This window comes from Homo sapiens, chromosome 21 (assembly GCF_000001405.40).
Source record: "Homo sapiens chromosome 21, GRCh38.p14 Primary Assembly".
NCBI classification, from domain to species: domain Eukaryota; kingdom Metazoa; phylum Chordata; class Mammalia; order Primates; family Hominidae; genus Homo; species Homo sapiens.
Window position 1 is genome coordinate 42371890 of NC_000021.9, and position 24253 is coordinate 42396142.

General features: G+C 50.7%; 1 protein-coding gene across 4 annotated transcripts, besides 5 other annotated features; it reads right to left on the reverse strand.

Moving 5' to 3' along the window:
- TMPRSS3 (transmembrane serine protease 3) lies at positions 1–24163 on the reverse strand. 4 transcript variants are annotated; one of them, NM_001256317.3, is made up of 13 exons: positions 24053–24163; positions 23435–23579; positions 18038–18148; positions 17040–17156; positions 16514–16637; positions 13520–13645; positions 12081–12124; positions 11144–11309; positions 10176–10345; positions 8228–8323; positions 4652–4794; positions 3827–3979; positions 1–890 (listed from the first exon to the last, which is right to left on the reverse strand). In NM_001256317.3, exons 2-13 carry the CDS (start codon positions 23526–23528, stop codon positions 873–875), a joined length of 1362 nt encoding a protein of 453 aa, NP_001243246.1. In that variant the 5' UTR covers positions 23529–23579; positions 24053–24163; the 3' UTR covers positions 1–872. The 4 variants fall into 4 exon arrangements, with proteins under 4 accessions (NP_001243246.1, NP_076927.1, NP_115780.1 ...); NM_024022.4 differs by having other exon boundaries at positions 4652–4797; NM_032404.3 differs by lacking the exons at positions 18038–18148; positions 23435–23579; positions 24053–24163 and having other exon boundaries at positions 4652–4797; positions 17040–17260.
- Positions 794–1742: an enhancer, noted in NCBI's record as "H3K4me1 hESC enhancer chr21:43792792-43793740 (GRCh37/hg19 assembly coordinates)". NCBI's record gives its function as "activates a minimal SCP1, AML or CMV promoter by ChIP-STARR-seq in naive H9 embryonic stem cells {active_cell/tissue: H9 hESC(naive)}" and the evidence as "EXISTENCE:reporter gene assay evidence [ECO:0000049][PMID:30033119]".
- Positions 4801–5371: an enhancer, noted in NCBI's record as "H3K4me1 hESC enhancer chr21:43796799-43797369 (GRCh37/hg19 assembly coordinates)". NCBI's record gives its function as "activates a minimal SCP1, AML or CMV promoter by ChIP-STARR-seq in primed H9 embryonic stem cells {active_cell/tissue: H9 hESC(primed)}" and the evidence as "EXISTENCE:reporter gene assay evidence [ECO:0000049][PMID:30033119]".
- Positions 16799–17684: an enhancer, noted in NCBI's record as "H3K27ac-H3K4me1 hESC enhancer chr21:43808797-43809682 (GRCh37/hg19 assembly coordinates)". NCBI's record gives its function as "activates a minimal SCP1, AML or CMV promoter by ChIP-STARR-seq in primed H9 embryonic stem cells {active_cell/tissue: H9 hESC(primed)}" and the evidence as "EXISTENCE:reporter gene assay evidence [ECO:0000049][PMID:30033119]".
- Positions 21226–21465: an enhancer, noted in NCBI's record as "active region_18513". NCBI's record gives its function as "activates an Ori minimal core promoter by ATAC-STARR-seq in GM12878 lymphoblastoid cells {active_cell/tissue: GM12878}" and the evidence as "EXISTENCE:reporter gene assay evidence [ECO:0000049][PMID:35858748]".
- Positions 22256–23455: an enhancer, noted in NCBI's record as "BRD4-independent group 4 enhancer chr21:43814254-43815453 (GRCh37/hg19 assembly coordinates)". NCBI's record gives its function as "activates an origin of replication core promoter dependent on BRD2, P300/CBP, MED14 and CDK7 cofactors, and independent of BRD4, by STARR-seq in HCT116 cells {active_cell/tissue: HCT116}" and the evidence as "EXISTENCE:reporter gene assay evidence [ECO:0000049][PMID:35650434]".

Sequence of the window (24253 nt, forward strand, 5' to 3'; positions counted from 1 at the left end):
TGAGGGAAGGAAACATATTATTTGGAATCAAAGGACAATAATACGTCAAGCACCAAATGCTACAAAGAAATCATGAAAATAGGCCTTAAACGAGTCATTCCTAGATTAACCTCCCCACATGTGAAAATAAGTCTTGGAAGTAGAAAGGGTGGGTTTGGTTCTGGTCCCTAGAGATGAAAACGTGCAGTGACTGCAGTTCTGCACTTCTGGGCTGGTGCGTCTTTTCTGAGTGGCTGTTGGTGGCTTTGCACGTGAGGTCACATAACTGCTTATCTCGTCAGGAATTTTGCAAGACCCCTGGAGAGAAAACCAGATGGACCAGTGGGAAAGGCCGCCCTTGCAAGTTGCTGCTTCTTTTGTTCTTAGTGAAGATCAGAAAGGAGCGTGAGGCTAGGCGTGGTGGCCCATGCCTGTAATCCCAGCACTGTGGGAGGCTGAAGCAGGCACATCATTTGAGGTCAGGGGTTTGAGAGCAGCCTGGCCAACATGGTGAAACCCTGTCTCTACTAAAAATACAAAAATTAGTTGGGTGTGGTGGCGGGCACCTGTGGTCCCAGCTACTGGGGAAGCTGAGGCAAGAGAATCGCTTGAACCAGGGAAGCGGAGGCTGCAGTGAGCAGGGATTTCGCCACTGCACTCCAGCCTGGGCAACAGAGCGAGACTCCATCTCAAAAAAACAAAAAACAAAAAGCAGCTTGAAGGTTGTGCTGGAATCAGATGGAAGGGTGCCTCTTTCGGGCCTGCTACTGGTGCCGGAACTCAGAGCTCCAAGGGTGTCTGCTCGTGTGCAGGTTCCTACACGGGAGTCCAGGGGAGGATCGGGCTGTCTTCATCACCTCAGGAACTCAGGTGGCTACTTGTCCCCTTCCTCTTCAGGTTTTTAGGTCTCTCTATAAATGAAAACAAAGGCGTTATTGTTTTTAGCACTTCCAGCCATCCGTCCAACATGATGACGGAGCGGGCACCTGCATTTTGCCCTGTGGGAATTGTGGGGCTGTTCTCCACGATGAAGACAAGGTTGGCCTCCCCCTGGGGCTGCCAGCTCTGAGTGGATCCCAGGCAGGCATGAAAAGCTCCAACCAGCAATGCATCCGCAGGTCCCATCTCCGCCCTGCGACAGTTCCGTCACTTCCGTAGGAAACTTCCAGGTCTCGGCACTATGTTCCTGAGTTCTGGTTTGAGTCACAACAATTTTGTTTTAAACCCCCAACTAGATAGAGAAAAGTGCTGGATGAAAATGAAGATGAGGCCATGGGCATGCCACCAACTAGCACACGGGACACTTCCCCGCAAGACAGTGAGTCTTCCAAAGGCCCTCACGTTGACTTTCCTCACAATGGACAACTGAAACGCACAGCGGGCCTGCTGGAAAGCCTCCCAGGAAAGGAAGTCTCTTCTGGGTCTCCCCTAGGACGTCTGAAGAGGGACTTGGGAAAGGGCGTGTCTGAGGCTGCGCATCTCTCGCATGCACTGGTGGGTTGGAGGCAGCGGATGACTAAGGCGTTGTGCAGGGAGCAGGGGCCCCAGGCATCGCCGGAGCCAGCGTCACAGACGAGCTCCTCCACCACAGCTTCACCACAACAGGGGAAACTGCCTCCAAGACCCTCCCAGGGTTTCTCAGTGTGCCCTGAAGCCCCCATGCAACACATTCACCAGGGTCTTCACCCCAGACCTCCCAATCAGACTCCAGATAAACGCCCTGCAATCTTCACATTTAACAAACATCCTGAGAGAGGCTTCTGCACCCCTAAGTTTGAGATCTGTTGATTCTGCTGTGCAGTCACACTGGGGCCACGTCGGGGATCTGATGTGAGGCACACTCTGCCCTTGTTAGCTGGGGGGGCCTCATGCAGGTCGTCTCCGCTGTAGTACAGGGAGGGTCACAGGCTCTGTGGCCCAGGACGGTGCTGACATGGGAGGGGCTGAGGTGGCCCCGTCATGGAACCGTTGTGAGCGGGCTCCCCAGACTGATTTTGAACGTTTGTCTCCAGCTCACCCACGACAGCTGGAAGACACGGCGGTGGGCTTCTCTGCCTTGCGCCTTCAGTGTCTTAAGGGGGACTTTTAGGATCACCAGCTCAGTGCTCAGCCCCTGGGGATCTGTGTCCCGTGAAGGCCTCCATGTACTGCAGACCCGTGTGGAGGACCGGCTTCTCCTTTCCTGCCCTTTGCCCTCTGTGCCCACGCGACCCTTCTGTGCCCCCCAGGCTCCCACAGCACCCTGAACAGTGAGGAGGTCTCCCATTCAGTTGTCCATCCTGGTCCTTTCTACAGTGCGGGCGGGCTGGGCTGAGCTTTATACTGAAGAGCATAGCAGGCCACTCAGTGCCTAGTATGGGGCCAGGCTGCCTCTCCCAGCAAGGTGAGCAGGAGCAAGCACTTTCCACCCAGCCCGAGCACAGCCCTCACCACGCCCCGAGGGGGTGCTCAGGGCTGCAGGGCGGCAGTGCTGGAGGTGAAGCTAGCCCAGGTCTCAGTCCCAGGCCTCACCCTGTGCCCGTGGGCACCATTCTTTAGTTTCTCATTTAAAGCACAAAATCAGTGAGAGCAAAACGGGAATTAACGCCTGAGGCACATTCAGCATTTGATGTCCTTTCTTGGCCAATTGTTTCAAATTAAATGAGCTTTTTAAAAAGGTCTTTGAGCCTTGGAGACAGAAAGCTGACTGGTGGGTGCCAGAGGCTGGGGAGAAAAGTGGAGTGGGGAGTAACTGCGTGCTTCTAGGGTGCCGCGTGTCTTTTGGGAGATGAGAATGCTGGGAACTGACAAAGGTGGTGTCTGCACAGCCCTGTGAATGTGCTGATGCTACAGGGTTGTTCACTTTAAAATGGTGAATTGTATGTTATATAAATTTCACTTGAATTAGGGAAAAAAAACGTACTTACTTTGACGTCATTGTTAGTTCTTGGAAACTACGACTTTAAGCAAAATGATATATAATGAAACCAATTTTTTTTTTCTCATCGACTTTATAACAAAATTACATTGCAAGCAAGGACGTTGCTGGAGGGCCTGTGCGCACTGTTTCTCCTAAAGCTGCAGTTTCTAAGATCCCATCAACCGTATTAAGTGAGGACCTCCTGTGTTTGAAACCATCCCAAGGAGAGACTTCATCTGAGATCAAGCCAGCAAATGTTTCCCCGGCGCCCACATGAGAAAGGCGCCGTGTTCACCTGCCAGCACGCAGCTGCCAGGGTCCCAGCGAAGCCCTAAGCCTCCTTCTTCCTCCTCCACCGTCTCAGGTTTCCCCTCCATGCCCGGGTCCTGCCAAGCCAGCCTCGCTGTTGGGTGCCCCCCTGCAGGCCCCTCCCACTTCCACGCCTCCCCCTCCGGGACCCCCCACCCCCCCACACCACCAATGCAGAGCTCCCCAAGCCTCTCCTGACTGCTGCCTCTCATCCCTGGCTCCCAGCGAGGTTCCAGCCCCTCAGCAGGCAGGCAAGGTCCTCTCCCGCACTGTCTCAGCCCCCCGCCCCCTCCCACTTTCTCCCTGCTCCTGGCACACGGGGCACGCCCGACCCATCCCCATCCCAGCAGGGGCTCCTCCTCGCTGCCTCCTCCTTTCCCATGTCGTGAGGCTCCTTCTTCCTCCCGGGCCCCAGCTCCTCTGCCTGCCAGGCTGCACCCACCCAGAGCTGCCCAGGACTAGCTGTGATCTCTGTTTTCAGCACAAGCGTCTGACACCCTGGAGCCACCAAGTCACTGCTGCTGAATTGACAACCACTGGGTCACGCCCTGGTTTTTATAGCAAGACCAGGGTTGCATTTAAGGGACCTTAGGGTCAAAAGCCAGGGACAACGTGAGCTGGGGAGGGCGCCGCACCCACCTCCATCTGCTCGTGGATCCAGTCCAGGAAGGAGGTGACACGGGTGTACACCCCAGGCTTGTTCACCTCTGCGCAGCCGATGCCAAAGCTGGTCGCTCCCACTAACTTCCACAGCCTCCTCTCTTGACACACCAGGGGCCCCCCGCTGTCCCCCTGGGTGACAGGAAAGAAGCAAAGATTGGGGGACAGTCACCGCCATGCGAGATTGCTTTCTGTGGACAGTCTGCCGTGTGAGGCTGCTTGCTATGGAGTTGGGACCCCCCTTCATGATGTCCCAATGGATGACCCAGGTTACAGAAGGGAACCCACCAGCCCTTCCAGACACAGCATCCCCAAGGGAGGATGTCCCTCGGCCCCTTTGGGGTGCTGCCTCCAGCTGTGTGTCCCTTCCAGAATGCAGACCCTGACCCTCTGAAGCTCAAGGGCAGCTGGTGAGAGGGAGGGTCCACCTGGCCAGGGCCCTCAGGTGACCTGTGATCCACCTAGTAGAACTGGAGTCCCAGCCACTGCAGCTTTCGGAGGGCCAGATTCACTGGTTCCCCGCCACCTGCCTCCCCACCACCTGCCTCCCCTGTGGTCCCCCACAAAGTCAGAATTGGAGGGGAGCAGCATGAGTCCCCTCCCACCACCCAGCACCCACGCAGAGCCAGATCACTGGGTAAACACAGGGCTGGCAGCCAGGAAAAGGAGTGATATCTTGAGCAAATTTCTTCTCCACGCCCTGTAAATTTACTTTTTGTCCTGTCACAGGGAAACGCTGGCAACGACCTGTCCCAAGGGCTGGGTCACCCTGCCACGGCCTCGCCCACCGCTGCGGCCCCGTACCTGGCAGCTGTCCACGCCACCCGTCAGGTAGCCCGCGCAGAGCATGGAGGGGGAGATGATGCCACCGTACACGTCCCTGTGGTTGCAGATCTTGTTGGAAATCAAAGGGACGGCCGCGTGGTTCAGGACAGGGGAGGCGTCACCTGCTTCAAAGTGAGTGAGGGGATGTGTGTGAGAAGGAAGCCCGGCCCAAAACACAGAAGGCGCATGCTGAGACCAGGGGGGTGAGGGAACGAGGGACGAGGGGGATGCTCTCTGGTGTGTCGCAACAGCGGAAAAGGACAGGGCCCTGCGGGTGGGACGAGCAGACTCCCACTGTCTCGAAGCACCTCAAGCCCGAGCTTGCCCTCCTACGAGTGGCCGCAAGGGGCCAGTCTGCTTCAAGGCAGGGCCACCGACTCCCCTAAGGTGTCCAAAGAGGAGGAGGAGTAGGGGCAACAGTGGCCAAGACACCTCCCCAGGGCACCAGCCCAATCAGCCATCAGAACACCCCAGGTTATGGGAGGGAAACTGAGGCTCAGGAGGGTCACTCACTCAGCGTCTTTGTGAACTCTGGGATGGTCAGCAGAAAAATGACCCCAAAGACATTCTCACCCCAATCCCCAGAACCTGTGACTGTGTCACCTTACAGGGCAAATGGGACATTGCAGGTGCATTGAGGGACAGGCCTTGAGTGGGGAGATGATCCCAAGTAAGAGGGTGGACCTGACGAAGTCACAGGGGTCTTTGGAGGAGCCGGAGGAGAAGCTGTGACGACAGAGCAGGGACCAGAGTCAGAGAGTCAGAGAGAGATTCGAAGATGCGGCATTGCTGCCCCGGAAGACCAAGGAGGGGCACGAGCCAAGCAGTGTGGGCAGAGTGCAGACGCTGGGAAAGGCAGGAGACAGATTCCCCAAGGGCCTCCAGGAGGAGCCAGCACAGCCCACACTTGACGCCAGCGCCCTGAGACTGAGTTTGGACCTGTGACCTTCCTAACTATGAGATGATACCTTTCTGTCATTTTAAGCCACGAATTTGGGGTCGTTTGTTGCAACAGTCACAGGAGACTTAATCCACGTGCAGTGGGCCAAGCACGCCCCCGACACCGAGGGATGGACCCCTCCAACTCAGCTGGTTTGTGACCCAGGCATCTTGGTGTTTTAAAGACTCCATAGATTCCATGGAGACAACAAAATCACACAATGACAGGACCCTGAGGGGCTGCTCTGAGGAGCACATGGTATCACAAGACACTCAGCTTCCTGCCCGGAACGTGGCGAAACAGCTCAATGCATTATGGGAGAAGATTCCAGGACAGGCTGGAGCTGAAGCTACATCAGGACAGGGGCTCGTCGGACCTTTTGCACTGGACAGAGCAGATTGACAGCGAGAAGAAAATCGGCAGCGGGATGGAGAATCTCCTGGGAGGATGAAGCTGTTGCACAGCCTCCTCTTCAGAGCCCAGTGTCATCAGAATGACTCTGGTGGGCTGGTTGGTCCGGAATGAGAGCCCACCATGAGAGGAAGGGGAGCGTAGATTGGTGTCCCAGCTCCCACCACACACCAGGGGTGCTGGTTCTGATGAAGCTAGAAAGGCCCTGGACCAGCCACACTGGCACAGAACTGGGCCTGGGCCATGTGGGTGGGTTGGAAACTACAGAGAGCTGTGAGTGCCCTCGGCCAGGTGGGCAGCACTGCCAGTGGGTGGGGGGTAAGTAGGCCCACAGACTCGAAGCATCCGGGTTAGCTCCTGGGTGCCTTCAGCTGGGGGTGGGCTCAAGTAATTGGTGTTGAGTGGAAAACACTGAAATTCCTGTGTTAGGTTGAACTGTGGGCCCCTCCAAAATATGCCTACCTGCCACTATGGAGCCCAACCTTATTTGGAACAGGGTCTTTGCAGATGTAATTAAGGTAAGAATCTCAACATAAGATCTCCCAGCGTTTAGGGTGGACCCTAAATCCAACGACTTGCTGTCCTTATAAGACACAGGAGAGGGAAGTTTGAGATACAGAGACACAGGGGGCAAAGCCACGGGAGGAAGGAGGCTGAGGCTGGAGATCCAGCTACAAGCCCAGGAATGCCAGTGCAGCTGCAGCCGCCGCCACCAGAACCCAAAGGAAAGGGGTCAGAGCCTCCAGGAAAACCACCCTACAGACACCTCAACTGCGTGTGGAAATAAATCTCCACTTTTTTTTTGTTTTGTTTTGTTTTTTTAAACGCAAAGTCTCACTCTGTCACCCAGGATGGAGTATGATGGCATGATCACGGCTCACTGCAGCTTAGAATTCCTGGGCTCAAGCAATCCCACCCCAGCCTCCTGAGTAGCTGGGACCACCATGTCAGGCTAATTTTTGTTTGTTTGTTTGTTTGTTTGTTTGTTTTGAGATGGAGCCTTGCTCTGTCACCCAAGCTGGAGTGGAGTGGCATGATCTCGGCTCACTGCAACCTCCGCCTCCTAGGTTCAAGTGATTCTACAGCCTCAGTCTCCTGAATAGCTGGGATTACAGGTGTGCGCCACCATGCCTGGCTAATTTTTGTATTTTTAGTAGAGACAGGGTCTCACCACATTGGCCAAGCTGGTCTCAAACTCCTGAACCTCAAATGGTCCACTTGCCTCGGCCTCCCAAAGTGCTGGGATTACAGGCATGAACCACTGCACCCGGCCCAGGCTAATTTTTTTAATTTTTTGTAGAGACAGGGTCTTGCCATGTTGCCCAGGCTGGTCTCAAACTCCTGGGCTCAAGCAATCCTCCTGCCTTGGCCTCCCAAAGTGCTGGGATTACAGGTGCATGCCACCATGCCTGGCTAATTTTTGTATTTTTTGTAGAGACGGTGTCTCTCTATGTTGCCCAGGCTGGTCTCAAACTAATGGCCTCAAGGGATCCCATAGACTCGGCCTCCCAAAATGCTGGGACTACAGGTGTGAGGGAACACACCTGGCCAATTTCCATCGTTTTAAGCCACGCAGACTGTGATAATTTGTCACGGCAGCCACGGAAAATGAATCCTCTTCCTACTAACAAAGAAAGTGATTGATGGAAAAACCTAAGACTCATGACCAGCTCTGTACCCACACTAAGGAAAGGGTGGCCCGGGCTTCATTTGCATGGACTATGGTTACTGCCACTCCTACTTCCCTTATTATTACAGCGATCTCATCTGCTGCTGCTTCCACTTGCTCTTTGTAGGATGAAAGAACACATCTTCCAAAGTCCCACAAGACAAAGAGTCTTCACAAATACGAATCTTTGAGTTCTGAATGAAGCCTGGGAGGGTTGTCTAGGTGGGCTCTGTATGTCCTCAGTTAACAAGGCCGGGGGTCCGGGCAGGGAAAGGGAAACACCTGCTGTGTTCGAGAAGGTCTAACTCTCTCCTGAGAAGGTCTGCAGGGTCATGTTGTCCCCATAACAATGGAACCGTGACTCCTGACCCACAGTTCCTTGGCTGACTGTGTCCCGAGCAGCTGACATGCACTCCCTGGCCGGGGTATCTGGGCAGCCCATGGGAACATCACAATGGGACATTGGGGGAGCCCCCTCCGCAGCCCTCTGGGTTCTGAGCCCCTGGACTCCGAATCTTGGCTTCAGCCCACTGACCTCCATCCTCTGTGGCCCCCCATCCTGACGTCCAGCACACTTTTCCATCGGGGAAGTTCTCTTCAGAGTTGGGCAGGCACACAGGCTGGATCATTTCTGCTTGAAGGGAAACAATAGTTCACAACTCAATTGAAGCAGGAGTCCGAGAAAACAATCTCATCTATGCTTCTGCCTCTGAGGAGCCCAAACTATCTCCCAAGGGAAGGAAGGTCAAGCCCTTGGTTACTTGAAAACGATCAGCTCACAGCAGGAGCCCCTTACCCCATCCACCACACCCAGAGCACTTAAAACTGTAAAAGAGCCCTCCACCGTCGCAGCGTGAGGGAACCTAGACCAGGGTCAGCACACCTTTTGTGGAAAGGGCTGAATAGTCAATGTTGTAGGCTTCGTGGGCTGTGCGGTCTCTGGCTGCCATTGGAGCATGAAGACAGCCCCAGGTAACAGGTACCCACATAGGTGTGGCTGTGTCCAGTAAAATGTCTATTTACCAAAACACGATGGGGCAGACCAGGCTCTCAGGCCAACGCGTGCCCACTCCTGGCTAGATCACAGTGTGGGTGTTGCCTATAGAACACGGCTCCATGAATATTGCTATGGTTCCTGGGATATCTGGAGGCGACGAGTTTGCCTGTGTGTAGGGCTGGATCCTGTGGGCCTCCCCCAAAGCCAGAGTGCCCTGCACATACCTCGGGCTTTCGTGTGAACACACCCTGAGGTTCCCCGAGCTTTTCTGTGCAGAACAGTAATGGAGAGGTAGAGAAGGAATAAAAGAACTCACTTGAAACTTTGGCAAAGTACAAGTGCTGGCACCTCATTTCCTATAACCAATATCATTAATAATAGTTGGCAGACTGGCACCACCATAATCATTTTCCTGCTTCTCTGGAAATATTTGTTTCTGGGCATTACGTGTCCATGTGATGGATGCAGTAATGACTCTGCCAGGTAGAGCCTGCAGCTGGTCTCAGGTCAGGATTCTGCTTCAATAAGAGGGAATTAACCTATTTATTATGCTTTCCCTGCTTTCTTAAGAAGGAAAGAGGGCTTTAATTTAATTGGGAGTAGTCTCCTAGTACTTTGTTTGCATCTACGAGATGTTTGAAAGTTTTATCAGGTGTGGCTCTTCTGGCATTTTCGTAATGTCCAGAGGGCAGGGCTTGACTTTTTCAAGAAACAGGGTCTTTAGGAGCTGCTGGTTGGGAGAGAACTTTTCTGTACTTCCAGGGAGCTGAGGGTGCCCAGCATCTTTCAGCTTGTAAAGAAATGAGAGGACTCCACCACACCACCTGGCCAGCCTGGGAGGTTCTGTTTCTCAACCAAGATGGCCCCTCTACCTGGAGAAACCAGGCAGGTGGGAGGCACTGGCTGAGTGACCCCTCCACAATAGGCTCCTGGACAGGAAAGTGCTCTTTGTCCCTACAGATGGATGACTCTCTTCCACCACCTAGAGGCCCCAGCTGGTCTGGCCTCAAGAAGCTCTTTCTGCCTCCAGGTGGCACCAACAGGGAGAAGGTGGCACCAACAGGGAGAAGGTGGCACCAGACAAAGCACACAGCCCACGAAGGCTCTAAAATTATTGTTGGAACTACAGCCCACCAATCTACCTGGCAGAGTCATCAGTGCATTCATTCTGTAGGCCAGGATCTACAAACTACATTTAAACAGGGTAACATTGAAAATGTAGGTAGGACTCAAGTCTGCAAACATGAGAGCCACATTGTCCAGGATACAATTGAAAATCACTTGTCATACCAAGAGCTAGGAGCATCACAATTTTAATGAGAAAAGATAATCAACTGATGCCAACACCAACATGAATCAGGAGTTGGAATTATTAATATCTGACAAGGATTATAAAGCAGCCATCATAAGAATGCTTCAATGAGCAATTGCAAATCCTCTTGAAACAAAGGAAGAGCTGCAGAACCACATAGAGACCCAGATGTACCATTGAACGTGAGTGGCCCGGCCAGCTTCATAAGGGCGATGTCATTGCCCAGCCTCTTTGGCTTGTACTTGCTGTGGTAGACAATCTTCTCCACCAAGTGGGATGGGGCTGGATTGTCCAACAGGGAAACTAGACCCACCTGGATGGTCCATGACTTGGGGAGGTACAAGCTGAAATGAGAAGAGCAAGAGGTGAAGCACAGGAAAAGTCCAACCACTGAACTCATTGACCTCAGGTATCCTGAAAACCTAGGAAGATGGTGGGAGAGGTTATCAGGCAAGATGTGGTCCCATCACCCTGCTTGTTTATGCTGTATATGCAACTGCACTGCCACGCCCTACAGAAACACAGACCCACACCCCATGTGTTTCCCAGACCTCACTCTCAGCACCTCTGAGGTCGTCTTGGCATTTGAGGGCTGAACTCAACATTGGTCACTGCAAGGAGTCTATCAGGCACTACTGTTCATCAAACAGCAACAAAATAGGGGGTAAAAATATCAGGGAGAACCATTGTGTTTGGAAGTCTTTTCTGTAGTTTTCTTGCACTCTAAACTCCTGAGATTTTAAGAAGAGACCCAGTACCTGGCCCCCAACATATTCCCTCTAGCCTCCCGCACCACCGTCTCACCCTGTCTCTGCCATAACATGGTCCACTGGAATTAGCTATGGGAAGGTCTAGGTCCTTTCATTTTTGTGGGTTTCCTCCAGCACAGGAGCTTCCTTCCTCTTCTGTCTGCCCTTTCTCTAGGAGCTACAATCCTTAAAACAAGCTCAGGGTCACAAGTTACCCCCAGCTGATGATGATGGGTCCACAGTGAGGCTGGAGACTCCTCTCCAACTGTACATTACTTGGAGGTTAGTCTCTCTGTCTTCCCTCTGGACCCGCTTCTCACCACCCAAAGCAGCCCCACCCTGACATGACCCAGGAGTGAACAGGGGTCTGGGAAGATGGTCAGCAGCACTCACTCATAAACACAGTGTGCAGCAGTGATGATCCACAGGGGCGTGATGACAGAGCCCCCGCACAGGTGGTAGCCCTGGAACTGAAGGCTGGCCTGCCAGGGCCACTGCGAGAGCAAGGACATGTTTCCACCCACGATGCGTGAGCTGTAGCCCCTTCTATGACCACAGGCTATGGAGGGGAACAAAGGCTTGTGGGTCCACCCTGCAGACTTCTTTGGGGGACATGGTGTCACCACCATGCACCTGCTCCTCTCTCCCCACCCTCACTGCCCCTGCTCCCAGAGCTCACAGCAGCTCTAAGACAAGTGCTGCAAGGGGGAGCTCAGCAGGGGAGGTGGTCAGGCTCTTGGGGAGACCTGAGGATGGTGGGTGCTGTGGAGGATGCGGTGGGAAAAGCACCTGCCCTGCTTGGTCAGTGCCCAGCATTGGCAGCACCACTCCCCATCCTATTCCCCCAGTGATGACAACACCCTGGGATGTCAGGAGCAGGCAGGAACCTTCTGCAGCCCCCTCCTCACTGCCGCTGGTGCACGCACCTCCCTGACTGCTCCAGACCCCACCCTTGTGGTGTGAACACTCCCCTCTGCCAGGAACGAGGGGCACTGCCCGAGGCCTGGAGTGGGCACTGTGCACGTGTAAGGAGGAAGTGGGAACTGAGTCAGGGACTCAAGGCTCTTCAGAGTGATGGGACATCATGGGCCTTGGTCCTGTCCGCTGCTAATGAGTTGCTCTGGCTGTCTCCCCCACCTGACAGGTGAGGCCGACAGGTGAGGATGACACTGCTCCCCTCCTCCAGCAGGTAGGGGTACACAGAGTTCCCGCCTGGCACCCAGGAGGAAGGGATACAGAGCCCCATGGGGGGAGAGGACTCTGAGGGCAAGGAGATAGGACTTAGCATGTGCTTGCTCCCCCTGGACCCCTGCCTTTCTGGAACTCTTACCTGTGCACTGCAAGGTAACCACGTGGCCAGAGGCACATCCCTCCCTAAAGCGGAGAAAAAGTAGGCTCTGTGAAAAATGCCCCAGATCTGTGAAAGGAACACTCTTAAAAACTCAATCTTAGGGTAACAGAAAAATAAATTCTATTTCCCCCTCTTTGAATATAGATTACAATTTTAGTCTATGTTCAAAAAAAAAAAAAACCATGAGGATGAGGTCACACAATTCATTGTAAAACACTCAACTAACAGTGAAGTATTGTGTACACAACAGGCCGTTCTGTATTTCTAAGCTTTAGATAGCTAGTGATAAAGGATGTGTAAGGAGATATATTCTATCAACATGTCACGCTGTCATTGCATGGCGATTCAGCCCAATGTTCTCCACCTCCTGGCCCCTAGGGACACAAGAGTGCCCAAGGGACAGCGTGGCAAGCTCTCTAGGACTCCTTGTAGCCTGGGTTCACACATCTGGCAGAGGACTCCTTCCCCAGAGCAATAAAGTGTGATTGCCCCAAAATTGACACTCCTACCCCCACCCCCACACACAGGTGGAGACCAGGGTGTGTGCTTTTCTCATAGTGAAGGGAAAGGGATCCCAAAATCTTTGTAATGTTTTCTGCCTTTTGAGCCCCAGCTCATCATGCAAGAGAAAGCTAGTGTCACCAGACTGTGGATTTAGCACCCAACACATGAGCTGTCCCTCCAGACTGCAGGTGGGTCCCGGGGTGCTTATTCATCCCCGACGGACAGACCAACAAGCCTACTGTTCCCAGAGCAGAAAATGCACATCTTAGGGTTTGGGCCTAGATGTCAGGGAGAGAATATGGAATTGGATTCAGAACTCTTGGCTGTATCTGCTACACACCGTCTAACCTGGGGCAAGGCATGTGGTCCCTGTAAGTTTCAGTTACCTGGTGGTTATTTAAGAACACCTGGTTTTACCTTCCCCATGAGTTGTTGGGGAAAACATGTAAAATAAATAATGAATGCTAAAATACTTCGTAAACAAAGAAGGATAAATTTCTATCTTAATTTCTGTTTTTCTTCCTTTTACCCTCCCTCTCTTCCTCCCTCCCTCCCTTCCTTCCTCCCTCCCTCCCTCCCTTCCTCTTTTCCTCCCCACCCCCCTTCTTGCTTGCCTGCTTTCATTCCCCAGACACACCCAGAGTGCCTGTCACATGACAGTACATTGGTCACACTCACAGCATTGTTACCCTTCTACTCTATTTCCTTCCCTTTCTTTATTGGGCCATACTCCCTCAGGTTCTCACACCCCCAGCCTGGCGCATCCACCAGTCTCATCAAGGTGGCCAACTCCCACCTTCCATCTGAGATAACACATGCATGCCTCTTAAGTCCTTGTGGAGTTGTGCATAGCATCACAAATCCAGCAGGTGACTCGATACCTGTGCAGACAACAGCATCGCCTGACCACCTACCTCACATATACTGAGTGGTGTAATGCAGTCACCTTGTCATCTGGCAAGAGGTGATCGATGGACACAAACTCCTCCCGGAACTGCCCCTCCAGCGAGCTCACTCTGAGGTTATCTGAACTCACATAGCTGCAAGCACATTGGAAAGACAGACCCGACGTGGTAACTTTACACTTTGAAGCATTCAACCGATGTGCGAGTCACAATATTACAGGGATTGTACATGGGGGATGTCATTTTGTCCCCCCAAACCCATCAAAGGCTTCCTTTGCCAAGAGAATGAAGTTCACTCACCCTGGCAAGGCATTCAGTCCAGGCCTGCTGTGTTCTGGGATGACCCCCGCTTCTGGCCTGTACCTGACAGCCCCGTCCACCCACCCTGGGCTGCAGCCACACAGTGAGTGACCATCTCCTATGTCCTTGGTTGAGTCACTCTTTGCGCATTCCAGTGAAATGCCTTTTGCTTGGCCTGAAGCAAGTCCAGAGGGGAGGTGAGCACAAAACTAGGTGCAGTATTGTCGGGGGGCACCCAAGCAGGGACACCAAGTTCTCCAAGAACAGTGAGTTGGAGGAACAGGAGAGACATCCCTCACCTGCCCAGGACCAGCGCAGAGCCCCACTGGAAAGAGATGAACACAAACAAGAAAGCGATTCCACGAACACCAGAGCCCAGCTCATTTTTACAGTGCCAGGACACAGGTCTTCTGGAGAACAGTGGTGAAAGTGATGCAACTTTTTAAAGAAGAATCACATGTTTGGAGAGTCACAAGATGGAAGATGGTGAATAAACAGCCATGTTCTCCTTCCCTTGTGAAATGAACAAAACACAGTACAGTAGGCTTGTTTTCATAGTGAACACACCAGCTTATCAACAGGATTTCTTCAGCTTACTGTAAATGCTATGGGGGTGTGTATGTAGAATACAAAGTTCAGTCAACTTTGAGTTTTGAGGAAAATGTAATCAAGGCGGCGGGCACGACCTTCGCAGCCCTTCCAGGGATTGCTCAATGCACGGATTCCGCTGGCACTGGCATGAAAGAGCCGATGGTTGCTGGGATGGCTTGGCCCCAGTGCAGGTGGCGGGGCTTGTGCCAGGCAAGGGGACCCCAGTGCTGCAACTGGAGCCCCATGAACTGTCCAAGTCTCAAAATGGTAACAATGACAGCCACAACCACACACTCGCCCAGTGTGCTCTTGCCCACCAAGCCCTTCCACACTCACAGCGTCAGCGGAACTTCAGTTCCCCTCCAAGTACGTGCTATTATCATCCCTCTTTTCTAAGAAAGGAAACTGAGGCATGAACTGTGTGTGGAACTTGCCTGAGTCTACACTGGGATTTGAACCCAAGCAATCTAGCTTGACCGTCCTTTGGTTATTTATTTATTTATTTATTTATTTATTTTTGAATCACAGATCTCTGACATAGGATGTAGTAGAGCAGAGAAGATTAAAGAAGGATTTTAAGGAGAATTTAAGAAAATAGAACAAAATGCAGAAATAAATCTTAGAAACTGAAGCAATGGATAGAGAACAAAAGAACAAGCCTATAGAGAAGAAAGTAGGCAATATTGGGGTGAGAGATGGGGGACATCGCATTCCCTGGATTTCCTTGTAGAGGGAGCATATTAAGGATGAGAAGGAATATTTTACCAAACGGGCTGGGGTGGAAGAGAGACGGGAAGGCTACCCCCACCATGAGTGGCCTCTACCTGATGCCTGGGACAGCTGGGGCTCCTGACTTGGGTCTGCTGGGTGGGGAAGGAGAGGGATTGAGCTGAGTTTTTCTGCATAACAGAGCAGAGAGGCCTTGGGGTTTGCTCAGACAGAGCGGTGGTCCTCCAGGACAGAGGAGGAGGGCAGAGAGAAGAGAAAAGGAGGCCCCCCAACACCCCCCACCCAATGAGTCAGAGGAAGAGGCTCAGCGGGGAAGAGAAATGCCCAATGGGGAAGCTCTCAGCTGTGTGCAGTGTGTGTGTGTGTGTGTGTGTGTGTACCTCTTCCTCCTTGTCTCTAAGGAGTAATACATCATTCCTGAAGACGTTAGTGTGGATGATTTTTGCTCTTCTCATTGAACTTGAATTGCAGCTCATTTCTGAATCTCAGTTGGTGTGGAGGGAGAGGGAGGCAGACCTCAGGGCTGGAGGCTGGAGGGCATTTTGGCTTCCACCAGCTTTGGGGAAAGACAGCCGAGAATATGATTCATGGAATTTGAAAACTGAGACTCTGTGGAGGACTCAGGGCAGTGTGGCTTTAACGACCCCATCTACTTGAGTGCAAAGCAGAATGCAGCCTGCCTGCTTTGAGTGCTGAGACTTGAGAGCAAAGGGGAGTAAGGAGGCTGCTAGGGGAACCCGTGGAAGTACAGCGGCCGCAGGAAGTCAGAAGGAAGGGGCCAGGGGAGAGAAGGAGGCCCATGCCTAGGCCAAAACTGTGTCACTCCAATGCAAAAAATCATGTAGGCAACACAAACACTAAAAAGTGAATAGTCAACTGTTATAGTTCTTTGTTCTACATGTTGCTAAACAAGTGTTTTGGATGATTGTGTCTTCACTAAATTTCTGACTTTCAACAATTGGTTCTGTGGGGTTCTTGGGGAAGCGTGCATGGACATTGATGTGACCGCCAGGACCAAGCAGGAAAGTGTCCAGGAAGCTACTCTAGGAGCTGCAAGCTGAGGAGCTGGAGGGTTTTTTGGTTTTGTTTTTGTTTTCTACTTTGAAACTTTTTATTGCATGTTCGTATCTCCGATCCTGGCCTGGCCCTGGGAACCCCCAAACATGCCACTTCCCATGTGCCTTGAGCAAGTCACTTAGCCTGTCTGGCCTTGGTTTGCTTGCCTGTGAAGTGAGGATGATATCGGGCATCCTAAGGTGGATGTGAGGATGTAATCTGAGAGCGTTAAAGCACCCAATAGTGCCCAACTAAATGGTAGTTGTCTTTCTTTATTGTTATCCTCTCTGTGTTTTGCCCATGGGTTGGAAATGCTCTTTAACTTACCTTGGGAAACCCAGTTGGGCACAGGCAACATTTGCGTAGTGACCCTTCCAGTCATCGGAGCACATGGTCTTCCACGAAGCAGCTGTGAACACCTGGAGCACGGCATTCTGACCACCCACCCGGACTGGCCGATGTGCAGAAAGAAAGGCTTATTAGTGGCCAGTGGAACCCTGAGACCATAGGCAGGGGTTTCTCCACAGCCAGCTCAAACCCCTCCTCTGCCAAATCTGACCCACTTCTTGTCCACGGCAGCCTCCCCATCACAGAGCAGTGACTCTGGATCCCTGAGACTTCTCGCTGGTCTCATCTTATTGCTTATGTGGTCTCCCCAAGAGAGCCAGAGCTCCATGGAAGGCCCTCCCTGACCCCCCAGCCCAACATGTCTTTGGGCAAACGCCAGTTCAATCCCAGCTGAAGACATGACCTAAAAATGGCAATGACTTGGACCCATTTTACAGATGGGAAGGGTCAGGGTTGGCTTCTGCTGCTTCCTTCTGTTTCCCCAGGGGAAGAGCCATGACCTTACCACAGCGGTACTCGTCCTCCCCGTCTTTGCAATCCGAGACTCCGTCACATCGAGCTATCAGCTCGATACACTTAAAGGATGAGCGACATCTGTACTTCCCTGAGCAGTCGAAGTGGACTGGGAAAAGGGAGGAAGGCAGGAATTAACCAACAGCTCTTTCAGAGTGCAACACTAACAACTGTCCCCCTGCCACACAGTGCGGAGCTGGCCCGTGAATAATGAAACCTGTATTGAAATTGCGTCCCTGTCAGCAGCCTGTTTCCTGCAGCCCAGTTTCTGTTTTGAATTCCAAGGGGTGGGGCTGCTGTGCCCCACTTTATCTCGCTATGTGGCCTGGCCCAGGAACCACAGTGCAAGGTGAATTTAGACTCTGGAGGTCTCAAGGTCAAGAGAGAAACTGCATGGCGGGGGGCCGACCTGCTGAGCCAGCCGAGCAAGGAGTCCTGACTGAGAACTGCTCGGCCTTCCTGGTTTCTCTTACCGAAGGCAGAAAGTGAACGAAGTGTGGACCACACAGTGGGGCAGGTGGCGAATTGAACTGACCTGTGATTCAGGTATTTGAAAGAAAAATTGTTCCCTATTAGAGACCCTCCATCCAAATGACCCACTTTCTCAAAAGCCACATGCACCTTATTGTAAAAACAGCTGGTGCGCCTGCATTGCATGAATAGGTCTCTTTGTCTTCTCCCCGCTGCCCCGGTCAGTGCCTCCCTCCCACCTGCAGGATTCTATTTCATCAGCTGCCTTTGGCCACTCCTAACCGGGCAGGTTCCTTGGTGACAAAGCCATGAGCATGGCCAGCAGCCCTTGCGGCACCCCAGACTGACTTTACATTCATGTGGGCAAATAAAACTTCAAGTCAGCAAACCAAAAGGATGTTTGCCTCCAGTAATTAAGGCTGGGCAGCAGCAAAATGCTGGGATGAGAGGGGGCGCTCATGAAAGTTTAACTACTTGGCTAGGTATTTGAGATCCTACTAAATAATGAATTGTACTCACTGCCCAGACCAATGGCCAGTGCTAATATCAATGCAATGATCCCAATGACGATGATTGGAAAAAACTTCAATGGCAGCAGTGACAGGATCTGTGCAGCAACAGCATCTGCATCTGAAAACCAGAAAAAGGAAGAGCAGAAAGCCACAGAACCTGACTTGGAGTGCCATGAAACTTACAAATTTAACTATCCTTTCCCCCTCCCCTCTTTGCAGAGAAGTCTCAGCCCAAAGAAAGGTGCCTTAATTAGGGAAAGGGCCACCCACCAAGGGGCACATTCTCTAGTTCAGTCCTACCTGCTCCACCTCTGACCCGGTTATTCCATGGGGGATGAGGGGATGTGCTATGGGTTGAATAGTATCCCCCAGAAAGACACGTTGAGGTCTTAACTCTTAGTACCTCAGAATGGCATCTTATTTGGAGATGGCCTGGAGAGTCTTTACAGAGTCATCTAGTTAAAATGAGTCATTAGGGTGGGCCCTAATCCAACGTGGCTGTTGCCCTTATAAAAAGGGGGAAAACAGCCGGGTGCAGTGGCTCACTCCTGTAATCCCAACATTTTGGGAAGCCAAAGCGGGTGGATCACCTGAAGTCAGGAGTTCAAGACAAGCCTGGCCAACATGGTGAAACCCCATCTCTATTAAAAATACAAAAATTAGCTGGGCATGATGGCAGGCACCTGTAATCCCAACTACTCAGGAGGCTGAGGCATGAGAATCGCTTGAACCTGGGAGGCAGAGGTGGCAGTGAGCTGAGATCGCACTGCTACACTCCAGCCTGGGCAACAAGAGCAAAACTCCGTCTCCAAAACACAAAAACAAAAAGGAGAAATCAGGACACAGGGACAAACATGCATGAAGGGAAGAGGATGGGAGGAGACACAGGCAGAAGCCAGCCTCATGAAGATGAAGGCAGAGATGGGAACAATGCATCTACACACCAAGAAATGCCAAAGATTATTGGCAAACCACCAGGAGCTAGGAAGAGGCAGGGCACGGTGCCCTATGGGTTTAAGAGGGAGTATGGCCTTGATGACACCTTGGAATTCAGACTTCTGGCCTCCAGAACTGAGACAATAAATTCCTGTTGTTTTAAGTCACCCAGTTTTGGGGACTTTGTTTCAGCAGCCCTATGACACTAAGATGGAGGGGAAGTAGCATCCCAACTTCCAAGGCTGTTTCCCTGCAGAGGAGGGGGTGAAACCCACACGGGGGGCTTGCAGGCAGAGGTAGTGCTGAGATCTCCCAGAGGAGATGCAAGGACAAGATGTTGATTTTTGTTTGTTTGTTTAAATTTTTTCTTATAGAGATGGGGATCTCACTATGTTGCTCAGGCTGATGTCAAACTCCTGGGCTCAAGTGATTCTCCCCACTTGGCTCTCCAAAGTACTGGGATTACAAGCGTGAGCCACCATGTCCAGCCGAGGACAGGATGTTGATACACCATTCTCCACAATTGCTGTGCACAGACACTGACAGCTTTCATTCCAGATCATCTCTTCAAGAATGTGTGTAGAGCAAACAGCCTTGGAAGATACAGATAGCGTCTCCCTCCAGAGCAAGAGGCAGGTTTGTTTACTGTCCAGTTTAACAAATATAATGCCTTCCTCCAGAGCAAAGTTTGCACAGGTCTGCTTGCAGACCACTGTAAAGATGAGGGTTCCCTTAACTCTGGGATATGCAGCAGCAATGCAAACTGCCTGCACGTGCGGCATACACAGGCTGCTCCACATGCCTCTGTGGGACTGAGAAGGCAAAGGCAGCCAGCACAAACAGGATATTTGTGCCCCTTGCTGCACTGTGAGGAATAGAGTCCTTTGTCTCTGACCCAGGACTCTCGTGTCTTCCAAAGCACCCATGAAACTGTGGCAGGCTAAATTTTGGCTTGCAAGTAGGGTGACATCTCAGGCCCTTTACAGTTCTTGCCCCTAGAACCAGGCAAATCTGGTGGAAACAATATGTAAGGAGTGTCCAGATGCCTGGCCAGAAGTATAAGCCTCTCTGGGCAGCAGGAGAATTCCCACTAGCACTCTTCCCTCCTGGGGAGAGCAGGCCATTTCACCTAAATTACCTCATCAATCCTAAAAATACATGAATGCCCAAGTTGTCTTTGTTAAAAATAAGGAAGATTGGAATCCAGAAAGGGGAGAGAAGCCTGCCCAGGGTCACACAATTGCCCAGGATGAGACTGGCACCTGCCTCTCTTCTCCTAGTCTTGGACATGTTGAGCCGAGAGCTCTGTCATGGAAGAGCTAAAAAGATCTTTCCCTGCCTGACCGTGGAGACTCACAACTTCTACCCTCTGGCAATAAGGAGTGTGATAATGAAATGATCAATATCAGTTGAGGCTGCCTAAGAAAGAAGAGAATTTGAAGACAAAAATGATGAAAAGACATGGAATGCGAGGAGAAAAGAGTGTGCAGAGGAGAGGGTGAGCAGGAGATGGAGGAAGAGCAGGGAAATAGAAGCTGCACTTCGCAGATGTGGAGGCTGTGAGGAACGCAGAGTGAGGGAGGATGAGAGACCGTGGCAAGTTCTGTGTTTTAGGCCTGGACAAGCTCAGTGGTTTGTTGAAGCTGCATTATCCATACCTAGAACAGCAGGGGACACACAGTAGTCCTTGATAAAAATGTGCTAGATGAATGAATGACATCATGATAATGAAGGCCGTTTTAACTCAGGGTCTGAGACCAAGTCCTTCCAGGACAGCCCATCTGCGGTGGTGAGCTGGCAGAAAGGATCCTCTCTCCACCCTCACACCTCGATCCCCCGCACACTAACAATTCTCCTCTATAAGGATGCCCACCCTTCGTCTTATACTTAGAAATCTGCAGGAACCCCAGGAATGACATCTTCACATTCCAGCTGCTCTGTATTTAAGTTGGATTTAGAAAATGACCCCAAATTGTCAAATCAAAGATTGACATTTAATCGAAAGGCTGTGTCAGTTCCCGTTTGCCCTGCTTCTCTGTCAGGCTGCCCTGAGGGCACTGCAGGGGCCCCACGCCTCCTCTGTGCTTGGTCCTTGAGGACATTGCCTGGAATAAACAATGAAATGTACAGCATTTCTCCAAAGAAGGAATGCAAATGGCGCACAAGTATGAAAAAGCTTTCAACTTCTTGACCAGCCTGCCCAACACGGTGAAACCCGCCTCTACTAAAAATACAAAAATTAGCTGGGTGTGGGGGCATGTGCCTGTAATTCCAGCAACTCAGGAGGCCGAGGCAAGAGAATCGCTTGAACCCGGGCGGTTGGAGGTTGCAGTGAGCCGAGATCACGCCATTGCACTCCAGCCTGGGCGACAGAGCGAGACCTCGTCTCAAGAAAAAGAAAAAAAAAAAGCTTTCAACTTCTTGAGAAATGAAAACAATGCAAATGAGACATAACTACATGCCAACTTCACAATGATTCACATGAAGTGAAAGGAAATGGTCCCCCACCTACAGTCACAGGGGTAGAAACTGTGTAAACTTCCCAGCTGTGTAAACTTAGACACCGGAAAGCTCAAAAACAGATGAAAGTTTTGACCTAGCAGTTCCACTTCTAGGAATTTATCCTAAAATGTCACCATAGATATACGCAAATATCGACCCCCAAGGACACTTAGAAGAATGGCACTTATAATATTGATGCACAGGAAACGGACCAAATTACCCACAAAAAAGAACGGGTGAAATAACAAATGAGGTACACATATAATGGAATACCTATAGGAGGACAAGATGATATAGAAAACGGTTGGAGAGATTTTCTGTAAAGGACCAGACAGTAAATACAGCACTTAAACTTTATGGGCCATGCGGTCTGTCCTAACGACCCCACTCTGCTGTTATGGCGTGAAAGCAGCCACAGACAGTATGTGAACAAATGAGCATGTCTGTGTTCCAATAAAACTTTATTTACAAAAGAAGGGGGTGGGCCAGATTTGACCCATCAGCCATAGTTTGTCAACATCTAGAAAATATTTAATTATTTAATGCCATAGAAAGGTGAAGGTGATATTGTTAAAATTTTTTAAAAGCTTCAAAATAATACAAATAGTACATGTTACTTCCAAAGGAAATATAGATATATAGATAGAAAAAGGCAAGAAATTCAATAATAAATTGCTAATAGGATTATCTCTGAGTAATGATGCCGTCGTGGGTAATTTTTAAAAATCTTTTCAATGAACTGTATTTTCTAAATTGTTCTTCTAATGAACAATACATTACTCTATTTACAAGGAAAAGTTTTTGTTCCTCCCCACTACTTAGTCATAGCAAAATAATCAAAAAATAAGAGAAAGGAATATTATAGTGCTATTAATATTCATATTATTTATATTATAAAATATTAGGAACAACTATAGGTCAAACTATGATCAAATGGCTGTGTAAATTGCATATCTACTTGATGGAATACTGTGATTCCATAAGAAAAAATTTATAAAAACCTTTTATGGAAAAAACCCACCTGCCTATATCTGTACTGTGCATGAAACCACACATACGGGCAAAAGCAGGAAGAGACTTTGCAGACATAAAAACCAGGTAAGTTTTGGGAGTCAGGTGATTGCAAGATTTTTTTTTCTTTCATTGACACTTAGCTAATTTTGAGCCATATTTTTAAATGTGTGTCTTTTCAGTTACTTGAAACCTCTTCTCCCACCTCCCATCCTTTCCAAACCTCCTCCAAGCCAATTTTCCAGTTGGTTTAAAAGAAATCATTAGGGTGACCCCCACTCCCACTTTCTGGAACCTCAGGCAGAGCTCCTGTGGTTCCTCCCTAGCACCAATGTGTCAGGAATCTGCCTGCGTCCAAGCCCTGACTTCCAGAACCGGCAACCCCACAGCTCCCTTTGACCAGTCCTGACTATCTCTGGTCAAAAAGATCCTAGCCGTATAGGTTGCTAGAGAGTCCACTGTTTTATCAGGCATTTGTGACTTATTTACGAAACCAACTTTTTTCCTTCAGTTGTTAGGAGCCACTCCGTCATCTGCTGCTGGATTTTAATCTAGGCCTCTAATATCTTTGGCGACATCCAGTTTATCCTGAGTTTTCGGAGGGACTGGTGGCCACTGCTTCTCAGGACTTCCTGGAGGACTCAGAGATTTCCTGGCCAGGATCTGACCTCCTTCAGGATTGACAGGACAATTGTGGAGCCCCAGTCTCTGAAAACCTCCAACAAGAGAAGAAAACACCGGTCTCCAGGGAGAGAGCAAAGGGCTTAACGAAACGATCCCCTCTCCAATGCCCCTTCTCCCTGAGATTCTGCAGATCTAGGGAAGTGCAGGTGTCCAGCCTGTGGGTGTCAGAATGGCTGGGGAGATATTTCCCCCACAGGGACAGTCAGTCACATTGGTCACCTACATGAGGGTATGGGCAGAAATCACAGAGTCCTCACCTGGGTCCACTTACCTGGTGCAACAGGACTTATTTTCAAATCATCAAGGCCAAAAAGCGATCGGAATGAGAAGGGGGCTTCAACAGCAGGCGGATCATTTTCCCCCATGGTGACTATTTCAGGACCTCTGACATCCGGCTCCGCCTCCACCTCTACCTCCTTAGCCGAGGAAGAACAGAAAGCATTTGTTCCCCTATTTATACTTGTAGCATCAGGTGCATCTTGGTCATACGGTAAATCTTTGAAATTCGACAGTCCACACAAAGCGCATTCAGTATCGATTAACCAAAAACAGTCATCTGGTGAGAATGCATTTTCGTCTGAGCTACAGCAGATAACAGAAAAGCTTCTAGAATTAGCAAAAAAAAAAAAAAAAAAAAAGTATGAACTTAATTCTGCTAAGACAATGACTTTCCCATTGTTTGTCCAACCAATCTTCAAATCGATTGCTTTAGAGGGACTCCCTCTCACCATTTAGAAGTTGCCATATTGCTATTGTTCAGAAGATAAATTACTCTCAAAGCCCTTTCCATTGCTTTTTTGCGATTGTTTTCACCTGTCCCACATAAACGCAATTCTTTCCCTGTGCGTGTGGTACACCTACCATAAGCATAAGTAGTTTCGGTACTCACATAATTCCCGAGTCCCAAAAATGTAGATGGCACCACGGAAGAGATAGTAGGCCACAGTGTTACTGGCTTCCCATAAACACAGCCCTTTCCTGGCTCACACGGGCATGACCTAATTAAGAACGAAAGTACCCGAGCCGTCCGGTGCCCGGTCCTTCCCCCACATAGCAAAGTGGGGAGTGGCTTTGGACCAACGGCTTGCAT

What these genes read in the sequence shown, in the direction of transcription:
- TMPRSS3 (NM_024022.4), bottom strand. Translation starts at nt 23,528, where the DNA reads ATGGGGGAAAATGATCCGCCTGCTGTTGAAGCCCCCTTCTCATTCCGA. An exon ending in GGTTACCTTGCAGTGCACAG is followed by an intron (nt 11,310 to 12,080) that starts GTAAGAGTTCCA and finishes TCCCCTCCATAG; the next exon opens with CCTGTGGTCATAGAAGGGGC. An exon ending in GCTGCACACTGTGTTTATGA is followed by an intron (nt 10,346 to 11,143) that starts GTGAGTGCTGCT and finishes TTCTCATTTCAG; the next exon opens with CTTGTACCTCCCCAAGTCAT.